The following is a 15,457-nucleotide window of genomic DNA, read 5'->3' as shown; positions in this document are numbered from 1 at the left end:
TCAGAATGTAAATTGAAAATGTCTCCTTCAGTGAGGAAGAAAGAAAAATGCTTTAAAAATCATGCTGCTATAAAGACACATGCACGTGTATGTTTATTGTGGTACTATTCACAATAGCAAAGACTTGGAACCAACCCAAATGTCCATCAATGATACACTGGATTAAGAAAATGTGGCACATATACACCATGGAATACTATGCAGCCATAAAAAAGGATGAGTTCATGTCCTTTGTAGGGACATGGATGAAGCTGGAAACCATCATTCTGAGCAAACTATCGCAAGGACAGAAAACCAAACACCACATATTCTCACTCATGGGTGGGAATTGAACAATGAGAACACTTGGACACAGGGTAGGGAATATCACACACCAGGGCCTGTCGTGGGGTGGGATTGGGGGGAGGGATAGCATTAGGAGATATACCTAACGTAAATGACGAGTTAACGGGTGCAGCACACCAACATGGCACATGTATACATAAGTAACAAACCTGCACATGGTGTCATGTACCCTAGAACTTAAAGTATAAAAATAAAAAAAAAAAGAAAGAAAGGGAGAAAAATCCTTCCCTCATGGATCACAGTTCCTAGAGTAGAAAGGCAAATAATAAATAAACAAATATATATTAATACATAAGAACACTCAGGCAATGATGCTTTGTAGAAATGGATATACCAATGGGATAAAGAGTGACTAAAGAGGATTTTGTTGTTTGCTTTTAAGATGAGAGAGACACTAGGACATGTTTGTAAGACAGGAGAATTGCTATATAGAATGAGAGATCAGTGACTTAATTCTCATTGTCCAAAGCACTCTCCTGTTTCTTTGCCTCGCATCCTGACCCTAACCCATGTTAATTAATTTGTCAGGTAAAATATATTTTTGGTGACCTATTTGGGTCAATTTTAATTCTATCAGGTGCCAGTTACATAAAAGCAAGCCATCATATTTGTCAGTGTATTATTTTCAAGTGTTTAAAAACAGAGGTTTGAAATTTTAAAAATTACTTAGAATGTAATATAGTTATTTGTACCTGCTTTCATGCTACAGTGGCAGAGTTAAGTGGTTGCAACAGAGATGGTATGGCCCACAAAGCCTAAAATATTTACTAGCTGGTCCTTTGCAGAAGTTTCATTAGCTCCTGACATGTGGCACTAATAATTATACTAGCTCTCTATATTAAATAGTTAATACTTTTTCCCACTGATTTAAGCATCACACTTATTAGCTATAAACACACAAACACAAGTTTACAGCCTATTTATTTTGTTCTACTGATCAGCTTGCCTATTTCTATAATAGTATAACATTTTATTTTTAAAAACTTTAATTGTAAAATATTATTTAAATGTTGATAGTGAAAGCTCTTTCATTATCACTTTTTAAATCTTATTGATTATTTTAAAATCTATTCTTTTGAATGAGCTATGGAACCATTTTTGTCAAATTCCTAAAACTTTTATGAGTGCTCATATATGAATTTTTTTTTTTTTTTTTGAGATGGAGTCTTGCTCTGTCACCCAGGCTGGGGTGCAGTGACACGATCTCAGTTCACTGCAAACTCCGCCTCCTGGGTTCAAGCAATTCTCCTGTCTCAGCCTCCTGAGCAGCTGGAATTACAGGCATGTGCCACCACTCCCAGATAATTTTTCTATTTTTAGTAGAGATGGGGTTTCACCATGTTAACCAGGCTGGTCTCAAACTCTTGACCTCGTGATCTGCCCACCTCGGCCTCCCAAAGTGCTGGAATTACAAGCATGAGCCACTGCGCCCAGCCCATATATAAGTCTTTGTGTGGACATATGTTTTATCTTGGTGAATACCTAGGAGTGGGTAGAATTACCAGGTCATTTGGTAAGTGCACATCTAACTTTATAAGAAATCACCTGTCTTCTATTATATTTTAAATATTTTTTATTTTGCATTGTTTTGATTTTCTCTTTTTTTCCAGGGAAGCCAATTATGCCTATGCTGGATCTCCTTTGACTGTTTTCTACATCTACCATTTTCTGTTTAATCTGTTTTAACCTTTATTTTCATTTTCTTGTGTAAGTTTCCTCATTTCTATCTTGTGCTTTGCCACTACCATTTCCACCTCATTGTTTTCCAGGTTTTCTCTAGCTGCTCTTCCCTTGTCTCAAGATTGCTAACTTAGCTCAGCTTTTGTGATGTATCTGCATTCACTGAAACTTTGGCTCCAGCCTTTGCATTTTAGGTTACAACTTGGCACAACCATTTCAGAAAACTGTCATTATCTACCAAAGTAAATTATAAACATACCCTAAGATCCTGTGAGCTCTGGACCTTTACATATTGTAGACACAAGCCCTTTGTTTGCCAAATGTTTTGCATGCCTTCTTCCTCTGTGGCTCTCTTTTTTACTTCCTCTTTTTTTTTTTTTTTGAGATGGAGTTTCTCTCTTGTCACCCAGGCTGGAGTACAATGGTGTGATCTTGGCTCACTGCAACCTCTGCCTCCTGGGTTCAAGCAATTCTCCTGCCTCAGCCTTTCAAGTAGCTGGGATTACAGACACACACCATCACACCCGGCTAATTTTTGTATTTTTAGTAGAGACAGGGTTTCACCATGTTGGCCAGGCTGGTCTCAAACTCCTGACCTCAAGTGACCTGCCTGCCTCGGCCTCCCAAAGTGCTGGGATTACAGGCGTGAGCCACCGAGCCCAGACTTCTTTTTTACTTCTTAATGTTATTTTTGATGAACAGAAGTTTTTATTTTAACATAGTCATTGCTATGGTTTGAATGTTTTTGTTCCTCCTCACCAAAGTTCGCATGTTGGAAACTTAATCCCCAATGTAACAGTGTTGGGAGGTAGGATCTTTGGGGAAGTGTTTAGGTCATGAAGACTCTGTCCTCATGAATAGATTAATGCCACTTTAAAAATGCTTGTGGGGGCCGGGGCAATGGCTGATGCCTGTAATCCCAGCACTTTGGGAGGCCAAGGCAGACAGACCACTTGAGCTCAGGAGTTCGAGACCAGCCTGGGCAACATGGTGAAACTCTGTCTCAACAAAAAAATAAAAAATACAAAAATAATAAGCTGGGCATGGTGGCATGCACTGGCAGTCCCAGCTATTCAGGAAGCTGAGGTAGGAGGATCACTTGAACCTGAGAGGCAGAGATGGCGGTGAGTCATGATCACACCACTGCACTCCAGCCTTGGTGATAGAGTGAGACCCGTCTCAAAAAGAAAAAAAAAAAAGTGCTGGTGGGAGCAGACTCACTCTCTCTTGCCTCTTGCCCTTTCTGCCTTCTGCCGTGTAAGGATGCAGTAGGAAGGCAATAAGAAGGCCCACACAAGCTGCTGGTGACTTGATCTTGGATTTCTCAACCTCCAGAACTGTGAGAGAATAAATTTCTGTTTTTCATAAATTACCTCGTCTGTGGCATTCTGTTACAGCAGCACAAAATGGACTAAGACAGTTGTATATGTCAGTCTTTTTCTTTATGGTTAGTGCTTTTTATGTTCTACTTGAGGAGTCTTGCCTTATGCTGAGATCATGATGATATTCTTTTATATTACCATCTAAGACTTTTATTGTTTTGCCTTTTCTTTAAAAGAATCACTTATTTACATTTTGTTTTTGTGTATGTATGAAGCGAAAGCCAAGCTTTATTTTTTTCCAAATGGGTATCTAAATATCCCCACACATTCATTGATAAGACATTCCTTTCACCTGTGCTCTATAGTGTCACCTTTGACATAATTAATGGTTCACATATCTGTTTTATTATTTTAATTCATTGATAAAGTTGTCCATCCTTGAACCAATATGACAAAATCTTAATTGCTATAGTTTTGTAATAAATCTTGATACTACTAGCTAATTTCTCCCATCTTTAGCTTGTTTATATATATATACACATTTTATATATTTATGTATTTTTATATATTAAGTTAATTTATATAATATATATTTACCTCTCCGCCACATCGTCGCTGCGCCGCCATCATGAACACCAGCCGTGTGCAGCCTATCAAGCTGGCCAGGGTCACCAAGGTCCTGGGCAGGACCGGCTCTCAGGGACAGTGCACACAGGTGCGCGTGAAATTCATGGACGTCACGAGCCGGTCCATCATCCGCAATGTAAAAGGCCCCGTTGGGTTCTTCAATGTAAAAGGACGTTGGGTTCGCCCGCATGGCCGATGGGAATGGTCTGTCACAATCTGCTCCTTTATTTTTTGCCCGCCACACGGAATTGAGATGCGCCTTTAAATAAAGCGTTTGTGTTTCAAGTTAAAAAATATATATATATTTACATATTATTCAATATATAAGTGTTACATTATACATATATATTAATATTTACATACATATTTTCCTGTAGGAAAAGTTTTATCTGCATCCCTCAAGTTTGGATACACAGTATTTTTGCTATTACTTAGCTCAAACAATAATATTATTAGATACATACATATTTAGTGTTGTTATATCTTCCTGGTGAATTAAACCTCTATTGTATTTTTTCCCAGGGCAAATTTATGTTACTTCTGCCATGTGCCTGGAAACACTCATACCCTGGGATCACTTTAATCCAGCTTCAGAGACTGGATAAGTAAAGCTGAGTTGCACCCCCTCTGAAGGTCTATTTACTTCTGGTTCAACGTTACTCCTAGGGTGCAGACAACCCTTTGGGGTCTCAGTCTAAAGAGAGGAGGGCTTGTCAGGCTTCCTTCGCCTGTGTCCATGCTCCATGAGTCTATCAAAGGTGTCATTCAGTCTCCCAGCACCCCAGTAAACTTTTATTGCTAGGAAATAAGAAAATTATTGCTTTCAAATATTAGTTTTAAACTGATCATGATAATGAACTTGCTTATTAATCCTGGAAATTTTTTCTGCTGCTTCTGTTACATATTCCAGGTGGATAATAATATCATTGGCAAACAATTATGCTTTTATCTCTTGTTAGCATTTAATATTACAGAGGAGATATATACAGCCAGTCTAATTTTTTTTTTTTTTTTTTGAGATGGAGTCTAGCTCTATCCCCCAGGCTGGAGTGCAGTGGCACACTCTTGGCTCAACCTCCACCTTTCAGGTTCAAGCGATTCTTCTGCCTCAGCCTCCTGAGTAGCTGGGATTACAGGCGCACACCACCACACCCGGCTAATTTTTGTATTTTTAGTAGAGATGGGGTTTCACCGTGTTGGTTGGGCTGGTCTTGAACTCCCGACCTCATGATCCACCCACCTCAGCCTCCGAAAGTGCTGGGATTACAGGCGAGAGCCACCACGCCCAGCCAGCCAGTTTAATTTTTAAACTTGCCTCCTCAGCCTGAATGCTTCGCTCATTTTGCCTGGTGTGCCTAAATGTGAGTCTCTTTCCATCGACTTGATACAAAAGGAGGAAATCACTTTTAATCAATATATAAGGCTCTTTCTGGCAGTCTGAAAATATTCTTTTATATTATACCATAGTTAAGTAATTATTTCTATCCCATTTGTTCTGTTCTGAGTCATGTCTCGATTTTCTATTTTCTGTATTTATTCTCTCACTTGATTTTTTTTTCCCTTTCTGCATTCTTGGAGGACTTTTCAAGCTTGTTCTTCACATATTTCTGCTTTCCTCTCCTGTGTTATCAATTCTGTTCTTTATTGGTTCAATGTGCATTTTAATATTTTGCCATCTTATTCTATCTCTTTGTGGTTTTATGTCCTGCTTCATAAAGACCCCATCTTCTTTTACTTTACTGAGGATATCAAGCAGCCTCCTAAAATTTTCTTCAGAACCTGCATTTACATTATTTTTGAAAATACATTTGGTCTCTGAATCTTCAATCTGCTATTCCCATTCCTTTGTTTCTGTAATTTATTTATATGTTTCATATTATATTGATTCTTTCTCTTATGATCTTATGATTTTTAAAATCATAATCTTCATCATCATAATACAGCTTGCACTTGTTGAGTGCTTACTGTGTGCTCTTCCAAGTATTTCTATGTATTGACTCATGCAATCTCACAACAACTCTATGAAGTAAGAAGCATTATTAACCTCATTTTACAAATACAAATGCTGAGACATCAACATTAGGTAACTTGCCCATAGTCACAGAGCTGTAAGTGGTGGAGTCAGGATTTGAACCCAGACAGTCTGGCTCCAGAGTATCAATGCTAGACTGCCTCTCAGTCATGTTTAAGACATTTTTAAAAGGAGAATGCTATCTAACTCAGTATTTGACAACAAATTATGTGTGTGGATTTTTCCCTAGCTCCATTTCTATTTGTGTGAAGGTCAAACTCCATTCTCAGCCACACAGCTGAAGAGCAGATTGGAGTACATAACATGCAGTCCAGTCCTGACTTCTGCTGGGTATTCATCCATTTAAACTCTGCACCTCATACTTTCAGCCAACGTGATTCTTGAAAAGCTATAGTTCCGACGGGTTCCAACAAAGCTTTTTCTCTCCATACCCACTCTAGCAGCTCTTTACTTGTAGGGCTTATATGACCCAGGATAGGGGTACTACTGTGGTTCCTTACCTTAATGTCTATACACGTACATGCACCTCCCCAACTCCACTATTTACTCTCTAGTTAACTTCTGGGGGATTTCTGCTGTCTTTAAATAGATGCAAACAAATAACAAAGAAGGAGGAGGAGAATCAATATGGATTGGTTCACAGGACCCACAGCAGAGGGACAGCTGGGTCTTTGAGTGAAGAGCTAAACAGTGGTGATGTCTGAATGGTCTTGAGTTTTCAGGTAAGCTCTGTTTCATGAGCCACATGAATTGAAGTTAACCATCATTCATCTGCATTAAAGATTCCTCTGAAATTCTGGGTCAGCACTGTCCATTAGATTTAGTTTTGAGGCTGGTTATGAGCTTTCTCCTCACCACTCCCTGCCATGGCTTCCTAGATATTTTATTGAAAAGTTGAGAGATGCTGGTTTTTTTTTTTGTTTTTGTTTTTGTTTTTTGAGACAGAGTCTCGCTCTGTCGCCCAGGCTGGAGTGCAGTGGCGCAATCTCGGCTCACTGCAAGCTCCGCCTCCCGGGTTCACACCATTCTCCTGCCTCAGCCTCCTGAATAGCTGGGACTACAGGCGCCCGCCATCACGCCCAGCTAATTTTTTGTATTTTTAGTAGAAACGGGGTTTCACTATGTTAGCCAGGATGGTCTCTATCTCCTGACCTCGTGATCCGCCCACCTCGGCCTCCCGAAGTGCTGGGATTACAGGCGTGAGCCACCGCGCCCAGCCTGAGAGATGCTATATTAAAGGCTGTTAATCAGGTGCCATTTTAAACCAGAACTACCCTCAGCCATTGTTTTCAAAGCTGACCAAACAGATTAGATCAGTGATCAAGGGACTCGTAAAGGGATTGAAGGGCCATATTAATTTTTAAACCTGATTACAGTTTCATCCATGGACTTTGTATATATACAGATACTTTTCAGCTCACTTAGCATCTCCCAAATCCTCAGCATAGAAAAATATCTATTCAAGACTACCCAAAAGCACAACCTTCTTGAGTCAGATATAATTAGACAACAATTACAGACTGTTTGCCTACCCAGTACTACTCTCCTGTTCTTCCTGAGTAACAAAACCCCAACTTTATCAGGAATGACCACATTTTTCAGCCTCTTTTAAAACAGTGTGGCCATGTGACATTATTTTAGCTAAGGAAACATGAGTAGAAGCTGTTAGGGGGAGCATAGCGCACAGAAAAAGACTCTTTTTTTTTTTTTTCGAGACGGAGTCTCGCTCTGTCGCCTAGGCTGGAGTGCAGTGGCACAATCTTGGCTCACTGCAACCTCTGCCTCCCCAGTTCAAGCGATTCTCCTGCCTCAGCCTCCTGAGTAGCTGGGACTACAGGTGCCCGCCACCATGCCTGCCTAATTTTTGTATTTTTAGTAGAGACAGGGTTTCACTATGTTGGCCAGGCTGGTCTCGAACCCCTGACCTCATGATCCGCCCACCTCAGCCTCCCAAAGTGCTGGGACTACATGTGTGAACCACCACACCTGGCCTAGAAAAAGACTCTTTAAAGAGACACAGGCAGCTGGAGATTGCACCTTCCTTTTTACTCTTCCTCACCTCCTTCTACTTCCTGCCTAGAACACAAATGTTATTCCTAGATTTCAACAGCTATGTAGACCATGAGCAACCTAGAGATGGAAGCTATGGACTAAATCTCTTGGAATTTCTTTTTTTTTTTCTTTTAATCTCTTGGAATTTCATGGATGATAGGAGCATCTTTCATTCTAAAGAAGCAACCCTTGATGGGCTCCTGGACAGCTTCAGGGTGGAAGCCGGTCACCAAAAAGCCCAAGCCGTGATTAGAAGCTTGGAACTTTCAGCCACACCCCACCCCTATCCTCCAGGAAAGAAGAGGGGCTAGAGGTTGAATTAATAACCATTCATGCCTTCTTGATTAAGCCTAATAAAAGTCGCCAAAGTACAGGGTTCAGAGACCTGGGTTGGTGAACACATCTATGTGCCAGGAAGGTGGTGTGCCCTGACTCACTGGAGACAGAAGCTCCTGCAATCAGACCCTTCCAGACCTCACCCTGTGTACCTCTTCATTTGCCTGTTCATCTGTATTCATTATCATATCCTTTATAATAAGCCAATAAACATAAGTCTCTCTCCAAGTTCTGTGAGTATAATTTGTCAGAGCAAATTATCAAACCTGGGGAGGAGGTTGTGGGAACTCCCGACTTGTAGCCAAGTCAGACAGGAGAGTGGGTAACCTGGGGATGTACTACTTTTGATTGGCATCTGAAGTAGGAGGCAATCTGGTAGGACTGAGCCCTTAACCTGTGGGGACTGCATTAATTATAAATAGCGTTAGAATTGAGTTAAATTGTAGGACACCCAGTTGGTATCCTGGAGTGTTGGAGAATTGGTTGGTGTCAGAAGAGCTCACATATCTGGTGTCATAAATGAAGAATTATGAGGGGAATTCTTATAATTATCTGAGAATATATGGGGGGAAAGGAGTGTTTTTCCTATACAGTCACCATGCTAACCACCTCTAACATCTCAACTCAAACATCAAAACTGGCCCAGAAAACACACCAGGCACTGCAATGAGATAACTGTAGTCCCAACAGTTAAACAGGGCAATTTCCAGGCCCCCGTGTGTCTTTCATGGTATTCTCTGACTATCTGAGCATCAGATCACAGATGTCGACAAAAACCTAAACTGACAGCCTGCTGCACAGACTGAGCTGAAATCCTGGGCTGGGATTCCAGGGCACTGTTGCATGCAGGCGATGGGCCCCCTACTACCTTCAGGCAGGACATTCCAGTTGCAATTACACATTCACATCACATTCAGGAATATCACAGTGTAAGTCAGCCTTTGGCAAAATCCCATTTTTCCCCCAAATAATATAGAAGCAGAACAGTTATAAAAATTACATATCAGTAATCCTTTAGCTTTTCTATGGCAAAGTGGCTAGGTACGGCTGTCCAGATCATTAGCATATATCACCTAGTCCAGAGCAACATTCCTAGTTTTTCTGTCTGCAGCTGTGTTCCTTTCACAGCTCACTACAGAGTAATCATAAAATTCATTTATAAGAATTCATCAAGATTCTTTGGGACATTTGAATAAGCATTCATAGAAAGTGTTTTCCAGCCCTTTCTTGATCAATTTCAAGTTAAAATATCATTATTATGCTTACAGAAAGTTGTTGCTTTTCCCCTTCTTTTCTTTTTCACCCACAATCCGTTTAAAAATCAGACAGCATCTGAATTAAAAAAGCACAGTCCAAGATACACCAGAGTGCATATAAACATTCTGAACATTTTACCAGACCTCAAACACATTAGCCTATATTTCAGTAGGACCTCGTTTTAAAACATGCATCGCCACAACTCAGGGTTTTAGAAGCCTGGAGAGATGGAGACCAAAGGAAGAGAAGAAAGAGCCACTCTTGAGCAATTTGGGTAATTCCCTCAGTATATGGCATGATTTGATAGTGAACAGGAAGACTCTTCTAACTGCAAATTTCTCCCGTTCACCTAATGTCTGCAATCCTACCATGGTAGACCTCTTTCAGTTCTTCCTACAGTTAGGGATGCAGATGCTACCAGGAAAGATAATACACAACAATGATTTCCTTCTCCAAGTAAAGTGACCTAGATTATCAGTGCCTTTTCAACCTAACAGCTACCTGAGAGGAAATAAATCAGAATGCCGAAAAAAGGTGTGTGTGGCCAGGCGCGGTGGCTCACACCTGTAATCCCAGCACTTTGGGAGGCTGAGGCAAGCGGATCACCTGAGGTCAGGATTTTGAGACCAGCCTGGCCAACATAGTGGAACGCCGTCTCTACTAAAAATACAAAAATTAGCCAGGCGTGGTGGCAAGCGCCTATAATCCCTGCTACTTGGGAGGCTGAGGTGGGAGAATCACTTGAACCTGGAAGGTGGTGGTTGCAGTGAGCCGAGATCGTGCCACTGCACTCCAGCCTGGGTGACAGAGCGAGACTCCGTCTCAAAAAACAAAACAAAACAAAACAAAAAAAAAACACACAAAAAAAGGTGTGTGTGTCTAGAGGGATGGGGGTGAAGAAAAGAGGACATACACAGAAAGGTGGGACGGGTGAAAGGGTGGGGGCCCAAGGAGGGTTAGGGGCATTAGATGTGGCCAGGGGTGCACAGAGGGGAGTAGGGACGCTCGGAGGAATGGGGTCTAGTGGGGAAGCCGAGGAGAGGAGAGCTGGACAGATGATCTTCAGCAGCGAGCATTGCCCTGGATGGGGACCCCCAAGTAGAAGATCTGACCACTAGGGAGTGAAAGGCAGCAGCATATGGGCCGGAGGATTCCAGAGGATGGGAGGAGGGGCATGGTGGGAGACCGAGAGGAAGAAAGACAGTATAGTCCAATGTCTCCTACTTCACCAAACACTGCCTTGCTGAGGCCAGCATAAATCCTATGGATGCTGTTCCCAGTTAGCTTCCAGCCGGCCTCACTGCTACTATTTCCAAGGTCAGTCTCCAAAAGCTGGTTGCCCAATCAGGCGGGAATGAGTCAGGGCCCCACCAGGCTGGTGGAGGTGGGTGGGAGCTTGGGGGACTTGCACAAGCCTGGACTGCTGAGATCACCAGAGAAGCCCAGCTGCCCACGAAGCCCTAGAATGGCTCCTAAAAAGACTTGGAGAGGGGGGTGCCAGGCAGTAGGATTTCTGGCTTCCCCTCTGGCTTGGTCCTCGTATGTGCCCTGTCACTTCCCAGACCATGTATTAACAGGAATAATGGGTTCTGTCCCTGTCAGCCCCTGTGGGTAAGGGGAGGGCCAGGGAGGTGTTGGAGCCAATGCCCCTGACATCCCCAAGCTTGACTTTATGTTCCAGGACCAGCACCTGCCTCTTCTGGGCTGGAGAGTGGCATCAGTGCCTCTCAGGGGCCTGCTGGTCCAACCTGATCTGGTGGCTTCCCTGGGCCTCTGTCAGGGAGGAATGGGGCCCTTTCCAGGGTAGCATTGGCCTCCGGATCACCAGCCAACTTGGGTTTAGGGGAGGGGGATAAGGGATGCTGGGTGTCCAGCCCAGGTCAGCTCAATCTTAGGGACTGCAGAGCCAATCTAGGCTTATAGCAAGCTTGGGGTGCAACCACCTCCATCCCCAAAACTATCTGCTGAGCAAAGGCAGTCAGCCAAGCTGATGGGAGTAAAAAAGCACATCATTAGAGATGGTTCAGAAAGCAAGTTAGAAATGGAGGAGCCTGTCCCTTCCTCTAGACATGTGCTTGTCACTTCTGAGTGAATGTCAACAAAGAAACTCTCTGCAGTGATTCCAAGAGGGTACACCTCTAAGGGGGCATGTGTGCATCTCAGTAGGAAGAGGGAGAATTTTTTAACTCCCTGCAACCACCACCACATTCACCTGCAGAAATTCTAAATCACCTTTCAGGTAAAAATGGCTGCAGCAGCGACAGCCAACAAGGTTCAGAATCTATGTATTGAGCACCTTCTGTGTTCTGGGAATATTCAGACAGACCCAGGTAACGAACAACATTCCACTGTGTCATCCCTCTGGACTTGTCTGAGCACGACAGTTTATTCAATCACAAGACAGTCCAGTCACAAGATAGGAAGGTCTGAAGCAAGCCCAATTTCACCCTTAGGGTGTGATGGTCCTGAGGAAAGTGACCTGCTGGCCCAACCTAATCCCAGACACTCAGCCAGGCAGGACAGGCTGATGTCACAGTCACAGGCAATCCCCAGCTCTGGTGGAAGCAAACAGTGAACAGTGGGGGACCAGGCTGGTTAGACTCACAGGTGGGTGGAGTGCAGCATCAGGCAATATTATCATAGTGGCACTTGGAAGTCTGGTCAGGCAGGTTATCTATAGCCAGGAATCTGCAGTTTTGCTCCAGGATTTAGGAGAATTCTCTGGCCTGTGGCTGGGGAACTAGTAGATACAGGCAGTGAGGTGGGGGTATTAGGAGATTACCAGGAAAGGAACCCAGGACAGAGGCCAAAGGGACAGCAAATGGGGTTCAGGCCTTGGATCTTGGAGTTGGCCCTAGGCCACCTTGTCATGGATCAGAAGAGGTTGTAGGGGGGTGGGGGAAATGAATGACACAAAGTCATGGCAGAATATGGACTGGACAGAACTGTGAGCCTGCAGAGGAGGAGAGCATAGGCCTCGATGAGGAATCAGGAGCTGGGTGTAAGGGTGGGTTCCTGAGCAGCAAGAAGTCTGTTGTCTGCCTCCTTCAGGTGCACAACCACGGCCTCCACTAGCCCAGGTGGAGCCTTTGCATGAACAAAAAATGGTGCCTCCTTTGGGCAGACCAGTTGAGTACACACCCCAGAGGCACACAGGCACACCTTTGTTCAAACAGAAAGGCACCACTTCCTCCTGCAGGTGCAGCCCACACCAGGGCACATAACTTGAGAACAGAGCCTGCACTAGATCCCAGCGCCCACTTTCTTACTTGGTCAGCACCTGTGTGCCGTCCATAAAATGCACACCTGTCCGTGGATGCCCTGGGAACGGCTCAGGGAGAGGGCGTGTGAATCCACCTGTTCTCCCCGGCAGTGGGCAAGCCTAGACCTCCCAGCACGGAGCAGGGACCATGGGTGGGCTTAACTCTGTGGTGGAGGAAGTGGTATTGGAATAAACTTGTCTTTGTGCTGTTGAAAACCAGCCCCTACACCTCAGCGGCCACCCTGCAGTGTAGCCTGTAATTGATTCCTTATTCATACCACGTTGGAATTCCAAGAATCGGTGCTAATAACACCCTTTCCCCTTCTTGCAGCCCGAGCTGTAGCTGGAGAGAGAATGACAAGCTGGGTAGCCTCGGCCACAGGCCCCCAGCTAGAATCCTGACCTGCAGGTTATAATAATTATCAGTAACAGCTAACATTTATGGTGCACATTGCAACTTACCAAGTGCTTTCATGTGCATTCTCTCCCTTGCTCCCTGTCAGGCAGGGATTCCTGGCAGTCCCTTCACAAATGAGAACACAGACTAGCTCTTATGTGTCCAGATGGTTGGTATAGCAGCATGTATTGGAGTTCCCTGGAGCCTGACTACCAGTTTCCCATCCCAGTATGACCATTTCTTGGCTGTGTGACATAGAGCAAGCTGCTTTACCTTTCTGTACTTCAGTCTCTCTATGCATGAAATGGGGATATTAGTAGCTCCCTCGTGCATGAGGTGATGTGGCAGTTAAAACACTTAGAACAGTCAGTGCCTAGCATGAAACAAGTGATCCCAGCATAGAAGCTCTGCTTTCATAGCCTCATCTGGAAAACAAGATCCACCTAAGTGTGCAAAAACCTCACATCCTTTGGCAATCCATTTGTGGCACAAATAAAACTGGATCAGATTGCAGCATCACATTTGAGAAATGTAATTCCTGATAAGTTTCTTGAGCACGACTTAGCCCCCACGAGGCTGGGTAGTCAGAGAAGTTGCCACAAATGCTGTTGACTGTGTTGAGGAGAGCAGGTGGAATGGGCTCTGGCTGGACTGGGCAGTATGTACCCTCTGCACAGAGGTAACTGGCCAAAGGTGCCCATTTTTCAGCAGAAGCCCCAAACCCTGATTTTTAATGTGAAATATCCTGATTTCCAACTTTAGCAACTCAATTTCTTCTAAACACTGTGTGGGCCAGACCAGACGCAGGTGCATGCAGCCAGTTTGTGCCACCTCTCCCAGTGGCCCTCTCTGACTGCCACCCCTGGAGCTTTTAGTGCCTGCGGCCTCACACACTTCTCTCCAGGTTTGTCCTTATCTGTCCCATGATGGAGACCACCCCACTTGGTCCTCTCCTCGAGGTCCTTGGGTGGTAAAATGTCAGCCATGAACATGATGGGTGTTCTACCTGGAGTACTTCAGAGGGAAAATGCCACGGACAATCAAGTACTCAGTTACCATGGAGGATGAAAAAGAATGTGCTACATAAAATAAGATAAAATGAAACATGCTTTGGCATGTGAACATACAATGGGAAGTGTTTTGTCAGCTCCACACAAAGTCAAGATGCCATGTGCTCACTATAATTTTTTTTAATACTTATTTCAGAGGAACAATTTGACACCACATGAAAACCCCTTATTAAGGGGAACTTTAATGTGATCTCTGCCAAACTCTCGTGTTACAGCTAGAGAAGCTGAGAGAGTCCTGCATGAGATCTCAGAGCTGGAACCCAACACGGCGCTGCCATGTGCTCACTCAGCCCATTCTTCATTTTCATGTGCAATGCCTGCTTTCCAGGGTCTGAGATTTCCCTCCTTGAGGCAGATCCATGTATGTCATCCCAAGCATGTTCTTATGAGGCACTTACTGCGAGTGCAAGATAATAACACAGTAGCTTTCATTTGTAGGGTGCCATATATGGTCATCCAAGGACCCTCGTGTGTTTTTCTTTCCTGACAGGGGCATGAGACATGAACGCAAAAACCCACGCCCAGGGTCAGGAGAGCTGGGCTGTCGTCTGCACCACTAACAAGCTGTGTGACTTTGTGGGAGCTATTTGGCCTCTTCAGCCTACTCTCTTCTTTTCTCATTTTGGATAATACCAGCCATGCCTTAGTATTGGTATAATTATTATGAGCTTTCCCCAGCTACTGGTTGAAGACATGAGGCTCTGACTCCAGTCTAAGGATGCTTCTTGACTGACACCTTGAAAAATGACACAAGGACCCTGAATCCACCAAAGAGGAGAGTTGCACACAGAGAGACATACACAGGCCTGCACGCACATCCATGTCCTGCCAGGTGGGGTAGGCAGAAGGCTGCTGAGAAGGTGGCCCTCAGGAACCCACCCCTGGCAGCTACCACAGTTCATTGCCCCGTGTGCCAGACTTAAGGTCACCCAGGCCTTCCTGGAGCTGAGGGTCAGCAAACGCCTTGGCTGGGGCTGGCAGCCCCTCTACTCAGCTGGCTACGGGCATGGGATGCCTTCTCCTTGACTTCTGAATCTATTTGGCAATCCTGGTACAGGTTGAGACCAGACTTTTAGT

At 44.1% G+C, this 15,457-nt stretch overlaps 2 long non-coding RNA genes and 1 pseudogene across 6 annotated transcripts in view; 2 read left to right on the top strand and 1 right to left on the bottom strand.

Moving 5' to 3' along the window:
* The window catches only part of LOC102724482 (uncharacterized), a 28,584-nt gene extending 19,962 nt beyond the window's left edge, over positions 1–8,622 (top strand). For all 3 annotated transcript variants that reach the window (XR_427046.4, XR_940249.3, XR_940248.3), the window contains exons 2-3: positions 6,596–6,728; positions 8,219–8,622. This is a non-coding gene — a long non-coding RNA (uncharacterized LOC102724482). The remainder of the gene's footprint in view (positions 1–6,595; positions 6,729–8,218) is intronic.
* LOC102724497 (uncharacterized) overlaps positions 3,730–15,457 on the bottom strand; it is a 39,767-nt gene continuing 28,039 nt past the window's right edge. For 2 of the 3 annotated variants that reach the window (XR_001739541.2, XR_001739542.2), the window contains exon 3: positions 3,950–4,233. This is a non-coding gene — a long non-coding RNA (uncharacterized LOC102724497). Of the gene's footprint in view, positions 4,234–15,457 lie in introns of all 3 variants that reach the window. The other variant, XR_427047.5, reaches the window with a different exon arrangement.
* RPS28P5 (ribosomal protein S28 pseudogene 5) lies at positions 3,976–4,125 on the top strand (annotated as a pseudogene).

This window comes from Homo sapiens, chromosome 2 (genome assembly GCF_000001405.40).
Source record: "Homo sapiens chromosome 2, GRCh38.p14 Primary Assembly".
In the NCBI taxonomy this organism is placed as follows: Eukaryota; Metazoa; Chordata; class Mammalia; order Primates; family Hominidae; genus Homo; species Homo sapiens.
This window is presented reverse-complemented; position numbering and strand designations above follow the sequence as displayed.